Source organism: Homo sapiens, chromosome 3, assembly GCF_000001405.40.
Source record: "Homo sapiens chromosome 3, GRCh38.p14 Primary Assembly".
Taxonomy (NCBI): Eukaryota; Metazoa; Chordata; class Mammalia; order Primates; family Hominidae; genus Homo; species Homo sapiens.
Window position 1 is genome coordinate 1,199,374 of NC_000003.12, and position 20,114 is coordinate 1,219,487.

The 20,114-nt window shown below is 37.0% G+C and overlaps 1 protein-coding gene across 23 annotated transcripts in view; it reads left to right on the forward strand.

The window, feature by feature from the left end:
• The window catches only part of CNTN6 (contactin 6), a 311,194-nt gene that overhangs the window by 106,350 nt on the left and 184,730 nt on the right, over window positions 1-20,114 (forward strand). Inside the window, exon 1 of one of the 23 annotated variants that reach the window (XM_017006174.2) lies at window positions 3,949-4,172. The exons of the other annotated variants lie outside the window; for them this stretch is intronic. The gene's annotated coding sequence lies outside the window, so the exon portion shown is untranslated. Of the gene's footprint in view, window positions 1-3,948; window positions 4,173-20,114 lie in introns of those variants that run through there. 23 annotated transcript variants of the gene reach the window in all.

The following is a 20,114-nucleotide window of genomic DNA, read 5'->3' on the forward strand; positions in this document are numbered from 1 at the left end:
CTCACCATGTTGCCAAAGCTGGTCTCAAACTCCTAGGCTCAAGCAGTCCCCCCACCTTGGCCCCCCAAAGTGCTGGAATTACAGGTGTGAGCCACCACACCCAGCCAAATTTGTTGTTTTAAGCCACCTAGTTTGCCAAAATTGGTTGCAGCAGCACTAGGAAACTAATTCATATTTAGTATTTTTAAATGGCTATTTGAAATGTAAAAAAAAATGCCATGAAATATATTGCAATTAAAAACTTTGTTCTCTCTGCTGCCTATTTGTTTTGGTTCCATTTTTTGGCAATTTGAGGTAGAGGAATTGGAACACAGACGGGAGGAGATAAGAAGCACTCTCTGCTAAGTGAGTGATTAAGAGCTCACTCATGGCTCAAAAGGAAACTCTCCATTATATTTTCTATTATCACTTGTGTTCTTGTCAATATAAGTACTTGCCACTTGTGAATCATTTTGGCGTTTGCAAAAACTTTCTTAAACAGTCAATTTCTTCCATTCTACCACCAAAAGAAACAAATAAAATAAACAATAGACAAATGCAATAGCAATGTTTACTAAAATTAAGTTTTTCACTCTGCTTAGCTTTGAAATCTGTATGGAAAATTAAGATAAAGGCCTACATTTTCATAGATAAAGCGGTAGAAAACTTTGTTTTTAGACATATATATATGTCTTTTTTTTAGACATATATATATATTTTTTAAGATGAAGTCTCGCTCTGTTGCTGAGGCTGTCACTGCAATGTTCACCTCCTGGGTTTAAGTGACTCTCCTGCTTCAGTCTCATGAGTAGGTGGGATTACAAGTGTGTGCCACCACGCCTGGCTAATTTTTGTACCGTTAGTAGAGATGGGGTTTCACCATGTTGACCAGACTGGTCTCGAACTCCTTGCCTCAAGATATCTGCCCTCCTCAGCTTCCCAAACTGCCAGGACTACAGGCGTAAGCCACCGTGCCTGGCTCAGCATGTATTTTTAATTCAGCTCTTTGGAGAGCTGCATCTACTGAGCACTGCGTGGGCTTAGTCTCACTGTGTAGTTGAATCTTGGTGGATGGAGGCCATCTGTGGTACCTCTAAAGCTACAGTAAGAACAGCCAATGCCATGGCATCAAAGGAAGCCAGAGGCATTTGGACCTTTTGGGGTCTGGCAGGCAAATAAAGAAAAGACTAGATTTGGCCTGAGTCTAGTTTCTTCTCATCTGGACACTAGCTCATAGCTCATAACTGGGCTCTCTTTTTTAAGCTCCATAAATGCAAGCATGACATGCATATGTGTATACAGAATTTGGACATGTTTTCCAAATTGTAAATGTGATCACAGCCTTAAGTAAAATTTATGTCTCCCAAAGCCCTCAGGATTAGTTCCTCATTCTTTAAGGAGGCTCAAAATAACTTCATGTCACTTTGGTTATCTCTCTAGCCCCATTTCTTGTCAACTTTTTCCTTAAGAAGAATAACTTGACTTCTCTAAATACTCCTTTATTTCTCTCAGGGCATATGCATTTACTTACCCTATACTCTTTCTTCTTTCTTTCCCTTTGTTTCTTTCGTTCTTTTTTTCTTTTTTTTTTTTTCCCAAGGTCTGATTTTATCGCCCAGGCTGGAGTACTGTGACACAATCTAGGCTCACTGCAACCTCTGCCTCCTGGGCTCAAGCCATCCTCCCACCTCAGCCTCCTGAGTAGAGTAGCTGGGACTACAGGCACCACTGTGCCCAGCTAACATTTTGTGTGTGTGTGTGTGTGTGTGTGTGTGTGTGTGTGTGTGTGTGTGTATTTTTTGTAGAGACAGGGTTTCACTATGCTGCCCAGGCTGGTCTCAAACTCCTGAGTTCAAGTGAACCACTCACCTTGGCCTCCCAAAGTGCTGGGATTACAGGAGTAAGCCGCCATGCTCAGCCCCTATTCTCTTTCTAAAAGAATCCATTTGCTCTTTTTTTCCCTATGATTGGGTTAGCATCATGGCTTCCAATGTTTGACTGAATGGTTTTAAATTCTACCCTCCATGAAACGGGAAAATTAGCTTTTTTTTCTCATGGAGTTTTGTTGAGATTTGAATCAGATAATAAATGCCAAGTTACTACATATAACAGAGAGTTGTCAAAAATATCATCACTCTCATTTTTCATATCCCAGCTTAACTATCATTGGAACTGAAAAACACTCCCTGAACCTCACAAGATTCGATTAGATAAAATTAGCTGTAACTATTAGAACAACCCCAACATCAATTCCCTTATATCCAGTAGTTCCACTTCTAGAAAAGTTTGCTAAGAAAGTAATTCTAAATTTAGGAAAAACTTTTATTATTGCATTATTTATAATAGAAAACAAAAATATGGAGCTACCCAAACATTTTCACTTCATTTAGACTTATCAGTCTTGTGATGGATTGTTAGGGACCTTCTGAATCATATTATTCCATTAAAAATAAAAATTCACAAGGACAAATTAATAGCATAGAAATTCCTATGTTATATTGTTAACCGAATAACAGCAGGGATTAAAAATTGATGGGATAGTATAGAAAAAAAAATCCTGGAATTACAGGTGCAAATATCTTAACAGAATTATTTTGTAATGTAATAATTGGGTATTTTTTCTCTATTTTTCTGAGTCTTGCAAATATTCCATAATAAGCATCCATTACATTTATAACGGCATAAAATAATAACCTTAATCTTTAAAAAATGCTAGTGGAGTAAATGAAACTTTTCCTGCATTTTCTTGCCAGTTCATGTCGCTGGGGAGTGTCACTTATTTCTCTTGTCTGTTTCCCTATGGTGAAAAACATAGAAACATGTTGATAAAGAACACAAAGAAAGAATGCATGACTAGGAATGAGGAGAAGGAAAAGCTTCATGCATACTCAGCTGTAACATGTTTGGGCCGGGCGCGGTGGCTCACGCCTGTAATCCCAGCACTTCGGAAGGCCGAGGCGGGCGGATCACGAGCTCAGGATATCAAGACCATCCTGGCTAACACGGTGAAACCGCGTCTCTACTAAAAATACAAGAAATCAGCCGGGCGTGGTGGCGGGCGCCTGTAGTCCCAGCTACTCGGGAGGCTGAGGCGGGAGAATGGCGGGAACCCCGGGGGGCGGAGCTTGCAGTGAGCCAAGATGGCGCCACCGCCCTCCAGCCTGGGCGACAGAGCCAGACTCCGTCTCAAAAAATAAATAAATAAATAAATAAATAAATAAATAAATAAATAAATACAAATAAAATAAAATAAAATTTTTACAAAGTCAATGTAACAACTCAGGGAAACTATTTGTCTTCAAACATTGAAGTAAGAAAGACAGGAACCCAAATTCAGAACCAGCTGAACCTTGAAGGAATAAACAGTAAATGTCAAGGGCTTTTCTCACACAGGGAATGAACCGGTTTTCCTGCTCATAAAAGAAAACAAAAATATTGAGTATGAGTCTGAAAAATATGAACTTCCTCATGTTTGTCATCTCCATAAACTATCCCTGTCATTTTATCTTTTTACTGAGAGGAAGATAATTTAGCAAAATGAAGCACGGGCTGCTATTTCATTTTCTTATTACATATTTGAATTCAGTCTAGTATAATTATGGTGTTTATGAAGTTTAAACTGATGTAGCAAGAGAGTAATAGGAAGAATAAGTGATCATCCACTCTCAACATGATAAGGAGCATTTCTTGATAAGAAAGTTGACTTTACCAAGTACAGGAAATATGTAAGAGGTTTTATCAGACAATAATTTTAATTTATGAGATGCTTTCATTGTGTTCCACTAAGAAAATATACATTTATTTCTAAATAAGTTAGTTTTAAAGCAAAGTGAGAACAACAGTAGCAAAAATGTCTCACAGTTACAGACACAGGCAAAACAAAAACAAAAATACCTGCCCCCATCTGTGAGAAAAGAGCTCACAAAGAACCAGGAAATTATAAATGAGCAGATTTGCCCTTGGCTGTAGGCAAGATCCCTGAGACAGTAATAAGAAATGAGGTTACCAAACATCCAGAGAGATATGAGCTGATAAAACTTAATCAGGCTAGTTTCACAAAGGGCAAATCTTTTCTGACGAATTTGGTGGCATTTTTGCATGGCACATGGGGCAGGAGAAGTACGTGACAGGAATGCGGGATAGAATTCAACTGAAGAAGGTAGAAAGCCATGGATGATACACATGAAAATGAGGTACGGTCTTAGCTTTCCGAAGAAGAGCACTTGGGAGACGTTTAGCCCAAATGCGTTGATTTCATGAAGATATTTATGTTGACAATAAACATGAAGCGTGGTTGATGGACTGGCATGCTTAGCAGTGAAACCACGGTAGCAAAATTATGTCTGTTATCATCAAATAATGCACGCTTGGGGTGCGTATGTATGTTTGCCATTCCAGATTTTTTTTAGAGTATTCTCATCAGTTATTTGCAGTCATGCACTGCATAATAACATTTTGGTCAATGACCGACTCCCCCCTATGAGATGGTGGTAACTTAGGATTATAATACCTTTTCTATGTATAGATATGTTTCGATACACAAATACTCCCCATTGTGTTACAGTTGTCTGCAGTACTCAGTACAGTAACATGCTGGCTGTGCAGGTTTGTAGCCTAGAAGCAATAGGCTGTGTACCATACAGCCTAGGTGTGTAGCAGGCTATACTGTCTAGGTTTGTGTAAGTGCACTCTGTGATATTCCCACAATGACAAAATTGCCTAATGACACATTTCGCAGAATGCATTTCCATGGTTAAGCCACTCATGACTGTATTTACTTTTTCCAAATGTTTATGTTATTAGTATATATAGAGAGAGCCAATGACATTTCAGAGAGACACACTCTTATCTCAAAGAGGAACCAATGGGCCACACTGCAATATCTCAATGATAATAATAGGTTTTACAGCATTTCTAGCATCTTTACTCTGAGACATTTTTAAAAAACGCTTTTAGTTGTTTTGTGTACTTGACAGTAGGCTGTTATTTTTCAAAGGTTAATGTTGAAGTGTTCTAAAATTGGGAAAGTAATAGGGTCAAATACCCAGAAGTTCAAAAGAAAGAATCTGAGTTTCCTGCTTAGTTGGTCCCTCAGCGTCAATGTACAAATAGGCTTGTCTCTTTCATCTTAAAAAGATAAATAATCCAAACTGAAATACATACATACAAACAATTTCTCTACCTCCTGCTGTTGTTTCTGCTCACCTCTCCCTTCTCTTTGCTGTCTGACTTCTTTATAGAGCAACCTGTACACCATTCCATAGTTTTATTTCAGTTCCCAGTTTATCTCAAGCTTGGCCTTTATGTCTCAATTCATCTTGATTTGAGAGTGAAATTTCTCCCAAAGAAGAAACAAGGACTTTCTGATGATCAACATTAGTGCCTTATTGCTGTTGCTCTTGTTTTTCACGGTTACTCTCTAACATATATAACTCTTAACATGTGTAACTAATATAACTCTTAATTACATCCTCCTTGTTAAAAACTCTCCTGTTTTGGCCTCCCATATGATGGATGGGGTAGGCAGAATAATGGCCCCCAAGATGTCAATATTCTAATCCCTGGAACATGTGAATCTGTTAGATTACAAGACAAAGGGAAATTACGGTTAAAAATGGAATTGAGGTTGCTAATAAAGAGATTATTTTGGATTAGCTGGGGAGGCCTTTGAAGTAGAAGAGGGAGGTAGAAAAAGGGCCAGAGGAAAATGTAACTATGGAGGAATAGTAGAGTAATTTAATGTGAGAAGGACTCAACATGCTGTTCCTGATTTTAAAGATAGAGAAAGGTGTCCACAATCCGAGGAACGTGGGCAGTCTCTAGAAGTCGTATAAGGCAAGGAAACAGATTTCACTCCAGAGCCTCTAGGAAATGCAGCCCTGATGACATCTTGATTTGAGCTCACTGAGACCCATTTTGGAATTCAAACCTACAGAACTATAAGATAGTAAAATTGTGTTGTTTTACACCATTGAGTTTGAGGTAATTTGTTACGGCAACAATAGAAAAATAGTACAATGGTGTTCTGGCAAAATAGTCTCAACTTCTCATGCAGATCTTCCTCAGAACATTGGGCTGTTTTCTTTCTTTTGTCAATTCCCTAGATGTTGACAGTCCTTGGTTTTCATCCTTAGCTTTCTTTTTATTCAGTTCCATGCTGTTGCTGCCTTTTACAAAGCAATGCCATCAAACTCAGTCTCTTTCCCCAACCAGATTCCTGCTTGTAGCTACCTATCTACATCTACAAGTCCCTCACAAAATCCAAATTTAACATGCTTTATGATAGTTTTTAAAAAGGCAAAATCATCAATTTCAAAGAAATGTAAATGAACACATGAAAGATTTTCTTTAACTCACTGATCAATGAAGGGACCAGTAAAATGTTGCAACTTGTTCAAAGAAGAATCCAAAGTACCACACATGTGTAGGTGATAAGGAATGCTAAAATAAATGTATAAATAGATGCAGAACAGGCTTACCATGGGTAAATTGGATGGTATGTGAATTATATTTTAAGAAAGCTGTTACAAAAGCAAACAAGCAAAAAGTTTGGCTTATTCATTAGGGAAAAATAGGAAAAAAATCACCTGCATTTCATTGGACACAGTTTATTTGCATTTCAATGACCAAAAGTCATTTGCATTCTTAATAGTTTTCTCCTCTTTACATTGTTGCAAAGTAGTTAAGAGTCATTGAAAGGCAGGGTTAATCTTATAATCTGCAATCTGCAAGAGTACCTAATTGCAGGGTACTCTGCAATCTTTCCATGTCCATATTGAAATTTTCGCAAGTTTTCCTGATATGTCCTATCACATATCTCTAATCCAAATACTTTCTCATTCTCCTGAAGATCATTTCACACATACATCCCTCTTAAACCTCCCATACTTCCCCTCCTATCATCTGTCTCAGCTGATGATCTTCCTACTTCCCAAGGAAATAAGAGAAAAAAACAGAAGATAATTTTAACTTGCTTTCCACCCCACATGCATCAGTGTATTTTCCATCTGTCTCCACTTACTCTGCCTTCCCTCCTGTTACTGTGGATGGAAGCTTTCTTTCTAAGGCCAACCACTGCACTGTGAACTCAGTGCCTCCCTGTCACCACCAGGGTGTCACTCAAGGTATTGTCTTCTCCCTCTCCTGTATCATCATGTTCTTATGCAACTGCATCATGCCCAGAATCATGTCAATATAATGTAGTATCCCATCTCAACCAAATGCACCATTGACCCCATGTCTTTCTGTAGTACAAACCTATTTCTCTAGACCCTTTTATGAGAAACTCCTTAGAATTTTTTCTTTTTCAAATTCACTGTCTTCAATTCCTCTCTTTACATACTCCATATCCTCACTCCATTCAGGATGTACACTCCACTCAGCAACTCTTGCTAGGTCCTTAGTAACCTCTTCCACATTGCTAAATGCAGTGGAATGTTTTTTACTCATCTTATTTGCCTAGCTTCCCTATTTGTCAAAGCTGACCATTCAGCTTCTTTAATTTTAGATTCTAGTCCATCACTCTCATAGGACACTCCTACAACATTGGCTATTGTTCCTCAGTCCCTTTACTGGTTCCTCCTCACCAGTGTGATCTTTAGTTGTTGCTGTGTCTTCAGGATGGGTTTGGGGTCTTTGTTTGTTTGTTTTGCTTTGTATACACTCAATCCGATGATCTTCAAATGCATATACCTTCAGTTCATAATTATCTCCAGAACTCCAGATTCATCTATTGGATGCCACCTTAGATATTTCAGTAGAAAGTCTAACAGAAACCTCAAACTCAACATTTATAAAACCAAAGTCTTTGTCCTCCTCCCAACCCCCAGCACAAGCCAGCTGTTCTACTTGAGTGTTTTCTCTCCCCAGAAAATGGAAAACCTATCCCTCCATTTCCTTAGGCTGAATACCTGATACTCATTCATGATTTCCAAATTTTTCTCCAACATATTACAAATCTCATTGCTTTAATATACAAAAAAAGATCTAGAATCCAATTATTATACATCTATACCACAAATACTTTGGTCCCAGCCACCATTATTTTCCCTTAAATTATATCAATGCTTTCAGTCTCAGGGGTTTGACGCTTGCTGTTCCTCTGCCTAGAAATTTTTCTCAGTGCATGTTTTATTATCCACTTTTCTTTTGATCTCTGTTCAGATGTCACCAGACCAGTGATGCCTTCCTTCACTGCCTTTTATAAAATAACACCTGACTTCAGCATTTCTAGCTCCCTTACCCTTTATTTCTCTCCATAGCACTCACAACAATCTCATATAACTTCTGTTTGTTTGTTCATTTATCTTATGCCTCCCTCAATTAGAATACAAACGCTGTCACAGACTCAAAGTTATCTGTTTTGTTCATTGCTGTATTTTCAGGCTCTAAGATGGTTCTCGCACATAGTAATCCCACAAATAAATGATTGTTCAGTAAATGAATAAAAAATAAATTAAATTTATATCTCCTCTCTCATCTTCTTTCATTCTCACTGCTCCTCATCTTTCTCTTCTCCTCTTCCTTTAACAGCTAAGGACTTCAACATACATGCATTCTTCCATTCATCCCTAATAGCTAACTCAGAGTAATCTCTAATGCTGTCTTTGCCTCTTTCCTCACATCAAATCATTTATAATATTTTGTTGGTATTGTGCCTACATACTCCAAAAAAGCTCTCACATCATTCTTGTCCTCTTTATTCCTACTGACAATGCCCAATTATCTCAGTGGTTTCAAACGTTTGATAAATAATCTCCTTGATCTGTGGTTTCTCTTTCCCTATCCTTCCTCCCGTGAGTCATGGATCTAAACATATCATAATCTTGCTTAAAACTGAAAACACTTCCATGTTTTCTAACTGTTTACAGGTCAAATTCAAACCTCTGTCATATCATTTAAGGTCCTTCAAAACTGTTCTAAATCTGCCATTCCATCTTTTTATTTCATGACTCTCCTACCTTCCAGACTAGTTATATTCTTTTGAATGACAGGTATTTTCATATCTTTATTCAAGCTTTTCTTCTTCTTAAAACTTCCTTACTGTAACTCCTGTTTCAATGCCATTCTTATTTTCATTCTTTTACACATAGTTCAAATGTTGCCTCTTTTGGCATTCTTCCAAAACCTCTAGGTAGAATTAATTGCTTCCTTCTCTGGGCTCCTTTAAAATTATATTTATACTTTTGGTGTAGTACTTATCCTGTAATATTGTAGTTCGTTAATTGTTTTCTTATTGGCTTCCCTTTCTGGAGTATAAATCATAGTGATTTACGGTATGAGTTCTGGAGTCAGTTTGCCTAGACTCAAAATTGAGCCTCACCACCCTTTAGCTATTTGATATTGAACAAGTTATTTCCATTCTCTAAACCTCATTTTCTCATCTTTAAAATGGAAATATTAAAATCTGCCTCGCAGAGTTCTTGAAAGGACCAAATAAGATAATTCATATTACAAGTTTAACTTGATTCCTGGCACTTACTATGCTCCCAAATTATTATTTGAGTGTCAGCTTCTTGAATGTAATCCACTTATTTATTTTTGCATTGTCAGTGCATAAAGAAGGTTCAACACAGAGTTAGAGCTAATAAAAGTTGGTCGAGTTTACTTATGTTGGATTTATCACTGTGTGCTGGCAATATCTAGATAAGCAATGATGTAGAATTTTATTTTGGTCTGGCTTTAACCTAAAGAGATCAACAGAATGTGAAATATATGCTAATGAACTCTTCTTATTATAATTTACTTTATGATCTGCATGCCACTTCCAATATGGCATATACATTTTAGGCAGGTTTAATGCTTAATCTCAAATCACAAGGTCACCATAGATGTCTGACTGGACTGAAATACTTCATATTTCATATTTGAATACTGGATCTTCAACTTTATACCATGTGTATACCATTAGTTCATTCTGCTAGAGTAACATAAAGATAACCAGAATGATTCCATTATGTGAAAAGCAGCTTTCACATTAAGAATTGTCTTCTCAAATGTCTACTGCATGTAAGAAATAACAAGCATGGCCACTGTCAGGTGACTGTGCAGCTTCTCTTCTTCACATCTTTGGTGTTACCTAGAGTAAGAGGCCACTGAGTGTCCAGTCCTTAGACACAGTCTAGCTTTGCATCTTGTGAAGTGAGTGCTGATTTCAAGTATGGCTTGAATCTAACTGATGCTTGATGTTCAAGCGTTATTGAACATATACTTTTGAAATAATTCCAAATACATTTGTTGAAAGTATTATTATCAAATGATTATTACAATGAAAATTTATTTTTATTACAATTTAAAAGACAACAATTCAAAAATCAGTCTCCCATCCCAGCCCTTAAATACTGAGCAACATCAGTGTCTCCAGTTGTTGGTTGGACAGGTAAAACTGTGAGCCCCAGCACCATCAAAATCAGTATCTTTATACCTGAATTAGTATTTTTTCCTAATACAAGCATTCCTCTTTTCTTTATTCCTCTATTTTGAAAAACAACAAATATCTGAGCAATCTTTAATGTTTCCTTTTCCTTTAATCATGCTCCCACATTCAGTTAACTGGCAAATCACCTTTTACCTTTGCTTTCAATTCTTGCTCCCACCACCTTAGTAAGATGTATCTCTCTACTTAGACTAGTATAAGAATTTCATAACTATTTTTAAAACTCTAGCTTTATCATCTTTATTTTTGAACATAGCTGACAAAGTTTACTTTTTTCCTTTTTTCTTTCTCCTATGAAGTAAGTCTGACATATCTTCACTGCATAAAACCCTTCAAAAGATAAACATCAACAGGCAGTGGGATCTCAGTTCAGAGCTTGATCTTTTGACTTAAAGCTCCGGTCTGCCTCTAGTTCTTAAGTAGGACACTTGACCTCTCTAGAATTACTTTTCTGTTTTATTTTTTTTCTGTAAATTAGGTAAACATTTCTCTAAGTATTTTTTCTATTTTAAAATTTTGTGACTTGACAGGAAGTTTAAAGAAAATTGGTAAAAGATAAATACGTGTGGTAAGGGGAGGGAGAAGGAAGAAAGAAGGGAAGTGAAGGGAAGGGAAGGAAAGGGAAGGAAAAAGGAAAGAAAAAAAAAAGGCTTAACTCTTTATAGAACCTGCATTCCAAGAAAGATATTAAGTGAGTTTAGTCTAGCTTAAGCTCTACAGGTTAAAGAGTATGAGTTTGAAAAACTAAGGTAGAAGCTTGGTAATAGAAGAAAAATAAAGCCAGGGAGGGTAGAGCTTTTATAGTACTGAAAGTATGCAGAACTCAAGTGGATGTATAATTTGTGTCACTCTGGACTTGGAGTCAAACCTGGATTTGAATGCCAGCTCTGGACTATTAATAGGGATGTGATTTTGAGCTAATTATTTAATGTCTTTAAGTTTTAGTCAGGTTCAACTACATCATTTGCAGACCCCAGTACAAAAGGAACATGTGAGCCCCTTGTTCAAAAGGCAGAAAAAAATTGCCATTAAAGGCATTAAAATATAAAATGTTTTCTTACTTCCCTGGTATCTTTCTTGATCTGGAATGATGTTTTTTATTTGCTTTTTAATGGCACTTTCCTTTTGGGCATGGGAATACTTTCTCAGCGACCCTCACATGACCTGGGGGCCTTGCCCCACCATTCAGTGTAAATGTGACTCACTGCTGACCCACTGACTTCCAGGTTCTCCCTTTCATCAGCTGCCTAACCAATATGCAGTGCCCCAGCTCATAGCCCCAACTCACACTAATGGAAAATCCTCAAAGGCTTTGCAACATTTGTGCAAATTAGACTTCTGCGGTAGAAGATATTCTGGAGGTTCCAGGAGCCACGGTGGGGAAATATATTGGGAGCAACAAAATTCTAACACAGAAAGATCTCAGGTACTTTATATCTGGGTGTGATCTTGGAGCTCTCTAGTCTTATCCCTGGGTGAAACCTGAAATTTACCCAGGCTCATACAATGTGATTCAGGTAGAACCAAAAATAATATGACTTTTAGTTCTGTGTTCTTTTAGATACAGGCTTTCTAATGTATGTGAGTTTCCCTTGTGATTTCCTCTAAAAGCCCAGGTTGTCTGCACTTTTGTAGTTCTGGAGAGGAAAAGCAGCCAAACACTGGTCTCTTTCTATGGTTTATTTAAAGCTATCTTTCTCAAGGCTGTTTTAGTTGTAAGAAACAGAAACCATACAATTAGTGGTTCATGTAACCTAGAGGCAGATCTCACTAGAAATTGAAACCAAAGATCTAAAAATTCAGGGAATAAAGCCTCTCTCCTCTAAATTACTCATTCTCTCCATCATTCTGTTCCCCCCCACCCTCTCTCTCTATCATCTACTTATCTCAATTTCTGCCTTTGTGTAGACTGGTGTTCTCTACCTCCTCATGAGTTTTATGGACGATGGATATTATAAAAGTTATGAACATCCTCATCTCTGCTCAAGCAACCAGCAGAGACTAGCATCTCTTAATATTATATCTAAATTCTTGGGAGAGAGAAACACCAGAGCCCAAGAAGAACATATTCACTTCTCATCCAGTCAGCCATGGCCCAAGGAATGGCCTAAAGCAGATTGAACATGCCTTTAAGGATCTCCACAGTTTAAGAGCTACTTCTCCATGAAATGGTTCATGGGCCATTCAGAAATGCCAGAATGTCACTGCATTCGAATAAAAAGTTCTCAGTATTTAGGGAATAATAATGAACGTTAGATACCAGTAGGTTAGATGTAATATTGCAGTCAGATCATGGAATTAACTTTTTAATTCCATAGAAGATAATGGAGGAAGAAAGGTAGGGCAGAACCCTTTATGCATTTTCAACAATATTGTACAATTTTCATATAATTATTACTTAGAAACATTTATTTTTCAGTGTCTACCTATTCCAAAGTTCTTGCCTTACTGCCAAATAAAACTTGTTTTTTTTTTTTTTTTTTGAGATAAGGTCTTGAACTTCTGGGCTCAAGCAATCTGCCCGTCTTGGCCTCCCAAAGTGTGGGGATTACAGGTGTGAGCCACCATGCCCAGCCTCTCTAATAAAACATTTTGTAGAGAGTACCATTATAATCATTGGTGATTACAATGTATAGTAGTATGTATACACATATAGTTTTTATATGTGTGTGTATATATATACACATACATGTGTGTGTATATATATACATGTGTGTATATATATACATATGTGTGTGTATATATATACACACACACATATATATGTGTATACACATACACATACAGTAGTATGTGTCTTCAATACAATTACTCACTGATTGTAGCAGTGGCTCAAAAATACCAACACCATTCTTTTTCCCAAATACATTCTTAAAGCACAAGTATTTGAAAATGCATTTTGATTTCTTGTTTTTGATATCATATTGTCACATGTTTTCAGCTGTTCCTATACAGAAAACCAACATTGTTCTTGCTTTCTGATTGTATAGACAAAACAATAAAGACTTGCTGTTATTTCATCATTTCATTACAGTATGAGAAAAATCTAACAATTTACCAAAAGATATTAAACAATTAGTTGAAACTAGACTTTTTACTTATCAAGTGGTATAAATTCAAGCTCCTAAAAAGTTGATAACAAATATAAATGAAAAAAAGGAATGATATCAACTGACTGATGATAATTCAACAAGACCTAACTTCTGTGTCTTTCAAAATGACCTAAAGTTACTTAGAAAAATGTCTTTAAGTTTCTCATCTATCAAATGGGAACAGAAATGTGCATCTCACAAAAGGCATCACAGGGATTTAATTTGGAAACTGCTGTATGTATATATTTTTTGAAAACCACTAATCATTCTCACAAGTATAAGATATTATTAAGCCAAGTTATACCCCCAATTTGGACTACATGAAGTTTAAACCAGACTTTTCTCTGAGTGAAAGTAAAGGAAAGCAAATGAATTAGCATTTGTTGTGTGCTTGTTTTGTGCCTGGCATAATGTATGTTGCTTAATATGCATTATTTCAACCAGGTTTTCTTTTTTTGTGTAGGAGGTAGGGGGTTGGAAACTTTAAAGAGATTTTATGGAGATCTGCAAAAAAGTCATTCATATTCCCACCATCAAAAATTAAGTTACCATCTCAGCGTATTTATTTCCCATCTCTTTTCTTCATTTTTTAAAAAATCTGATGTTTCTTTAATATAACGCATTTTTATTTTAATCATTCAAACTATGAAATATTATGCAAAGAAAATAAAAAACCTATCTCCAATAAAACTTTCTCTAAAAATAAAAATTATTAATATTGGGTAAAATTATAGCCATCTTTCTATATATATAAATACAGAAAAGATATACTGTATTCATGTATAGATAGATAATAGCATAGAAGAATACAAATATTTTATAAAAATGAGATCATACCATAGACGTTACTTTTAACGTCAAGATTAAATTTTATTTTAGAAAACAGAATAAAACAAAGTAAAAATGATAAATAATTTGAACTTCTAATAAATGATTTGAGACAAAAAAATTTTTTAAATGATTTCTCTAAGGTTAAAAGATACAATGAATGATACAAAGAGGTCAGAGTGCCTTTGTTTGTAAATACAATAATATTATATGTATATATGTGTACATGTATGTATCTATAGACTTTTTGCTGTGAAAGATGATACTAGCGCTCATACTAGCTAATTATATTCCCTCATTCACTTCTCATTTTTCTATTTTGTTGTTTATCTTATCGAGGTTGTAGCATTTATATTCTGTTCTATAACTAAAACTAGCAGAGTTCTTAAGTGTAAGTTTGTGTTTGAAAGTATTCTGTGTGTATCCCATTATTCCTCTTTCATTCTCAAGATCTGCATATTGATTCATATTTAATTGAATGGATTTCATTGTTAAGTGATCTCTTTAAGAATAATCATCTGTTATTTTTCATATTAGCTTTTTTATATTAGTTTTTTTAATGTTCAAATTGTTCAAATGTGTTTGTTGGATGTCTTTTTTTTTTTTTTTTTTTTTTTTGAGACGGAGTTTTGCTCTTGTTGCCCAGGCTGGAGTGCAATGGCGTAATCTCAGCTCACTGCAACCTCTGCCTCCTGAGTTCAAGCGATTCTCCTGCCTCAGCCTCCCTAGTAGCTGGGATTACAGGCGCCCACCACCACGCCCAGCTAATTTTTTATATTTTTAGTAGAGATGGGGTTTCACTATGTTGGCCAGGCTGGTCTCAAACTCCTAACCTCAGGCGATCCACCCACCTCCACCTCCCAAAGTGCTGGGATTACATGTGTGAGCCACTGTGCCCGGCTCAGATGCCATTATATTTGAAAGATATATTGGTGATAATACTAAAGTCATCCTTCCATTTGGAATATTTACAGACTTTTCTTCATTGACTTCTGGTATAAAATGGTACTGTTTAAAATCCCAGCTTATTCTGAGTTTTCTTTTTTACTCTGTGTATGTATGTGTGTGTGATGGGGTCTTGCTCTATCACCCAGGCTATAGTACAGCAGTGTGATCATAGTTCACTGCAGCCTCAAATCCCTGGGCTCAAGTGATTCTCTCACTTCGTCTCCCAAGTAGCTGGGACTACAAGCACCCACCACTGCTAATTTTTCTTTTCTTTTTGTTTTTGGTAGAGACAGGGTCTCCCTATAGTACCCAGGCTCGGTCTCAAACTCTTAGCCTCAAGTGATCCTTCTGTCTTGATCTCTCAAAGTGCAGGGATTACAGGCATGAGCCCCTGTGCCCATCCTTTCACTTTTACTTAGCTTGCTATTTCTGTCCAGTCTTCTTAAAGAAGCTTCCTCTTGATGTTCTTCAAATATTAGTCACTTAATCAGCAAACGCTTTGGTGTTGAGTATTCACTCTTTCAAATATTTCTGGAACATGTTCTTTCCATTTATAGTAACTTTTCTTAATGGTATTTACTGAGACATGTGTTTGATTCTATAACTCGGTGACATCAAGGATCTTAATGTTGAATCATCTTTATCTATGTTTCTAATCCATTACCTTCTCCTCATTGTTTTATTATCTGTGCTTTTTTCACATTATGTGAGATAATTACAATCATCTCAAAACATTATAGCAGTAATGTGACTTTCAGTGGGTATCTGTTTTGTTGCTTGCCTATTCCAATTGATTTATTTGTTATTTATTGATGTTGCCTGGGTTACAGTTTGCATCCTTAGGTTCATGGTCTCCAAATTTATCTGGTTCTATTGTCTGTGTATTTTTTTCATATTGACATTGTTATATTATTTTTAAAAACTCATGCTCTTATTCTATAGCATAAAACTGTTTTGAGGAATTCCCCAGGTTTTCTTGAGTTATGTTTTCTTTTAGATTGAGTATTTTCCCTGTCTTGGTCATGCCATGTTTTACTCTTTTATTGCTGCAATATATTTGCATAGTTACTATTCCATTTCTTTTCATATTGTTCATGCTTGAGAAACTGTGTACAGAAAATTCATTTTACTTAATGGGGAAATATATTTTTTGAATTTTATTTTTATTATATCTGGGAACAATTTTTTTTCTCCTTCTTAGCTCCAGTTTGGAGACAGGATTTATGGCGAGTACCCACATTTTGTAGCCTGAGAGAATGATGGGGCCAAGGAAAGTTCAGCCTTTTTAGGATACCTGGGTGCTTCTCTCTATCCTAAGATTTCTTTTTCAATGAATTGTAGCCAGATTATTATTGGAAGAGACTTCAGTATACTTCATTGGAAGATGTAGCACTTTTCTAATGGGCTTCAGAGGCTTCACCCCTGAGTGCATGGGCATGACATTATTAATTGGTTAAACAGAGTCAGCTTTACTATCCATATTTCCCCACTTTACTTTTTTTTTTTTCCTAGAAGCCCTTTTCATTGCTCTTCAGCCAGAAAGAGGTAAAAGAAAAAGATAAGACCTTTCCATCTGTGTACATACAAATCTGCTTATCTCCAGATTTAGAAGTTATAATGAGAATTCTCAGAATGCTGTTATTTCACCAGTAAATCCTATAGGGTGTGAGGACGACATTAGGAAATCAAGAACTCCTTCCCTTCTCTGAGCCTGACCAGACTGCTTTTACTCCACAGTTGTTTTTGGTTTTTTTCTTTAAGTAATTTTGTCAGGATATGTTCCTTTTCTTTTCAGGCATTGTTAATTTCTGTTTGTCTGTTATTTGTACTTACAACGTCTCACACATTTCATTAGGCACTGATACTGATATAAGAAAACTCACTCAAACATCTTCAATCCACTTGCTCGATCATCATTTACAGGAACACTAAAATATATGACATAGCATCCTCCTTTAACAGCTGAGAAATCAGAGAACAAGAGTGGTGAAGTAAATTGTCCAGCACTGGGGAGCCAGTAATTGACCAGGCTAGAATTAAAACCTCTATCTATCTACACTTCTAGGTCACTGAGGAAAGGTGCCTAAATTACAATTTTAAGATGAGGTTAATAAAAGAACTTATTTTACCCAATTGCAAATATTTTAGAAGACTAATATGATGGAAGCAGATCTGAGTGGATGGTGAAAACAATGGAGAGGGAATCAGGAAGCCAAAGTTTAATTTCTTGCTCTCTCTTAAGACAGATGTTAAATTTGGAAAAGATGATTCAACTTCCTGGGTTTCAATTTCCTTCTCTTTAATAATAATGATGGATGATGATGATGATGCTGATGATTGTCATAATTTGATGACTATATATCTACTCATTGTGAGGCACAATGTGACATATTTTATAAACAATATATTATTAAATCTCAAAACAACCATCTGATATACACATTGCATCTATTTTAATAACAAGGACACAGAAGATTGCTTAAATCCCCTGAGGCCCATTTGATTCCAGAGCACACGTTCTTAACCAGTAGCTCTATGGTCTTTCCAACCAAGAAGTCTGACCTGAGTGGTCTGTAAAAGATCTTCCAGCTTTGAGGTTCTCTAGTGCTGTGGTTGGTATAGAAGGAAATGACTATGGGTTAACATAGGAGAAGCAAGCTCACACATCACTCAAGTACAATTATTAGAGTTACAGACTGGACTTCAAATTAAGTCCTAACATGATCAGGTTTACGCTTGATGTTGTGCATTGCACTGGAGGGGAGAAAACATAATTTCTTTTATTTCCCTTTTTAGGTTTTTAGTTGAGACACCCTCCTACAAACAAAAATCAAATTAACAAAAGAAAAGCAGAAATGTATTAACACATGCTGGACCCATCATGCCGAGAGACATCAATTCAAAAGTATTTTTCTCAAGGCAGTGGCTTGGGGTGATGTTTCAATAATATTTTATCAAAATGCCATAAATTCTGCATAGTAACAAGGCAAAGGAAAGAACAGTTTTAGTCCTTTAAAAGGTGAGAAAATGTGAGAGGATAGTGAAATCTGTTCTCAGATTCCTCTGGTGCCTGCTGGTGCCTTCTCTGGGCTGATAACAAGTGCTGTCTCCAGTAAGGAAGCATGGATGTCCTGCCATCAAGCAAACAGAGGCTGAGGCCGGGTATTCTCCTGCCTTTTCAGTGCCTTTAACTCAACAATCCTCAATATTTGGGGAAGAAATATTTTGGTTTCTTTCAAGACATTAAAAAATAAAAACCACAGAATTTCACCTTACACATGAGTACTAAGCTCTTCCTCATCCTCTTCCCCTTCCCTTTCTTTCATAGCAATTTAGTCCAAATGCCATGAATTGGAGCTGAGTGAGGTAGGCATCCATGTGCATGTGGAAGAGGAGAGCCACAGCAGTCCAGCCTGAGGTGCTGGAACCTGAGAGAGGCGAGAGAGGCATCCATGCAGGGCAGGGGTTAGGACAGTGGTGACTTGGTGTGAGTGGCAGAGCCCAAGTAAGGTGAGAAGGCCATACCTGTGGTGGGGTGGCCTGGCAGAGGGTATCAGAGCCTGAGGAAGGGGAAGAGGGTTCCATTGTTAGGGGAGGGTGTTGAAGGCAGAAGCCTGGAGTCTGGTGTTGGAGCCAAGGAGAAGGAGGGTGGTTTCTGGGGGAAAGAGAGCTCCCGTGTGATCTGAAAGATGTGAGAAAGCGAGAAAGCTATCCATGTAGGAATATGTCTGTGTACCAAGTGTCAGAGCCCGAGTGGGGTGAAGGAGGACATCCACACTGGAGGCAGACCCTAAACAGGGTCAGAATCTGAGTGAGGTGAGGAGGGAGGAATCACCCAGCTAGTGGTGTCAGGGCAGGTATAGGAGTAAAACTGGGAGTGGACATCAGGACCTGAGCAGGGGGAAGAGGACGCTGACAGTGATACGAGACTAGTCACATACAGGGGAAGTGAGCAAATGCATAAATATGTCAAAGATAATGGGCACCAGGGTTCTCACAGCCTAAATGGGAGTTGCAAATATAAACAGAGGACAACTGTAAATCACCATAAATGAACACATCACACACGTATAAAATCTACGCACACACACAAATTTGCTGAGAGGCTCTGGGCAAGAGCACCTCAAAAAAAAATGAGTACGGTGAGCATCCTCATGATGGCTTCTAAATACCAATCTCTAATAAAGGAAGCCAGGTTGTTTTGTTTTGTTTTGTTTTTGTTTTTAACAACAACAACAAAAATGGCTACTTTGCTGGCAGAGCAGGTGAAATACAAGATGATCCTGGAACTCTCTCTTGTATCAGAAAGGAAGAATTCAAAGAAGGGTAAGGACATGCCAAAGGCAAGCCATTTGAAAGCATCGAATAAATAGCAAATGTATTATAACTCATTTACCAAAATAAGAAACCTTGGATTCACACCGATAAAACAGATCATCCTCATAGAAATATATGAATAAAAAGTTTAAATGTCCAGTGAGGCATATTTGCATTGTCTAAAATCCCTAGCCACAAAACACTAATTATAAAGAAAAAAAAGATACTTACTTTTATACTGGAGAAGTCTGACAGGTACCACCTTAGTCAAATGATTATTTAACTTCAAGAGCAATGGGACAGATAGAAGTCTTAACCTTCTACCTGACAGAACGCAGCATAAAGAGCACAGCATCCTGAATCGAATTGTAATGAAAGTGGTTTATTACCTCCAATGGTGTATCCAGTGAAGGAGGAGAGGATAGAGGGAAAGAGGGCAAGACAATGGGATCAGTGTACTTGCTGGCTGGGAGAAGCCTTTTTTATAGTGATTTTTAAAGCCAATTTTTACTGCT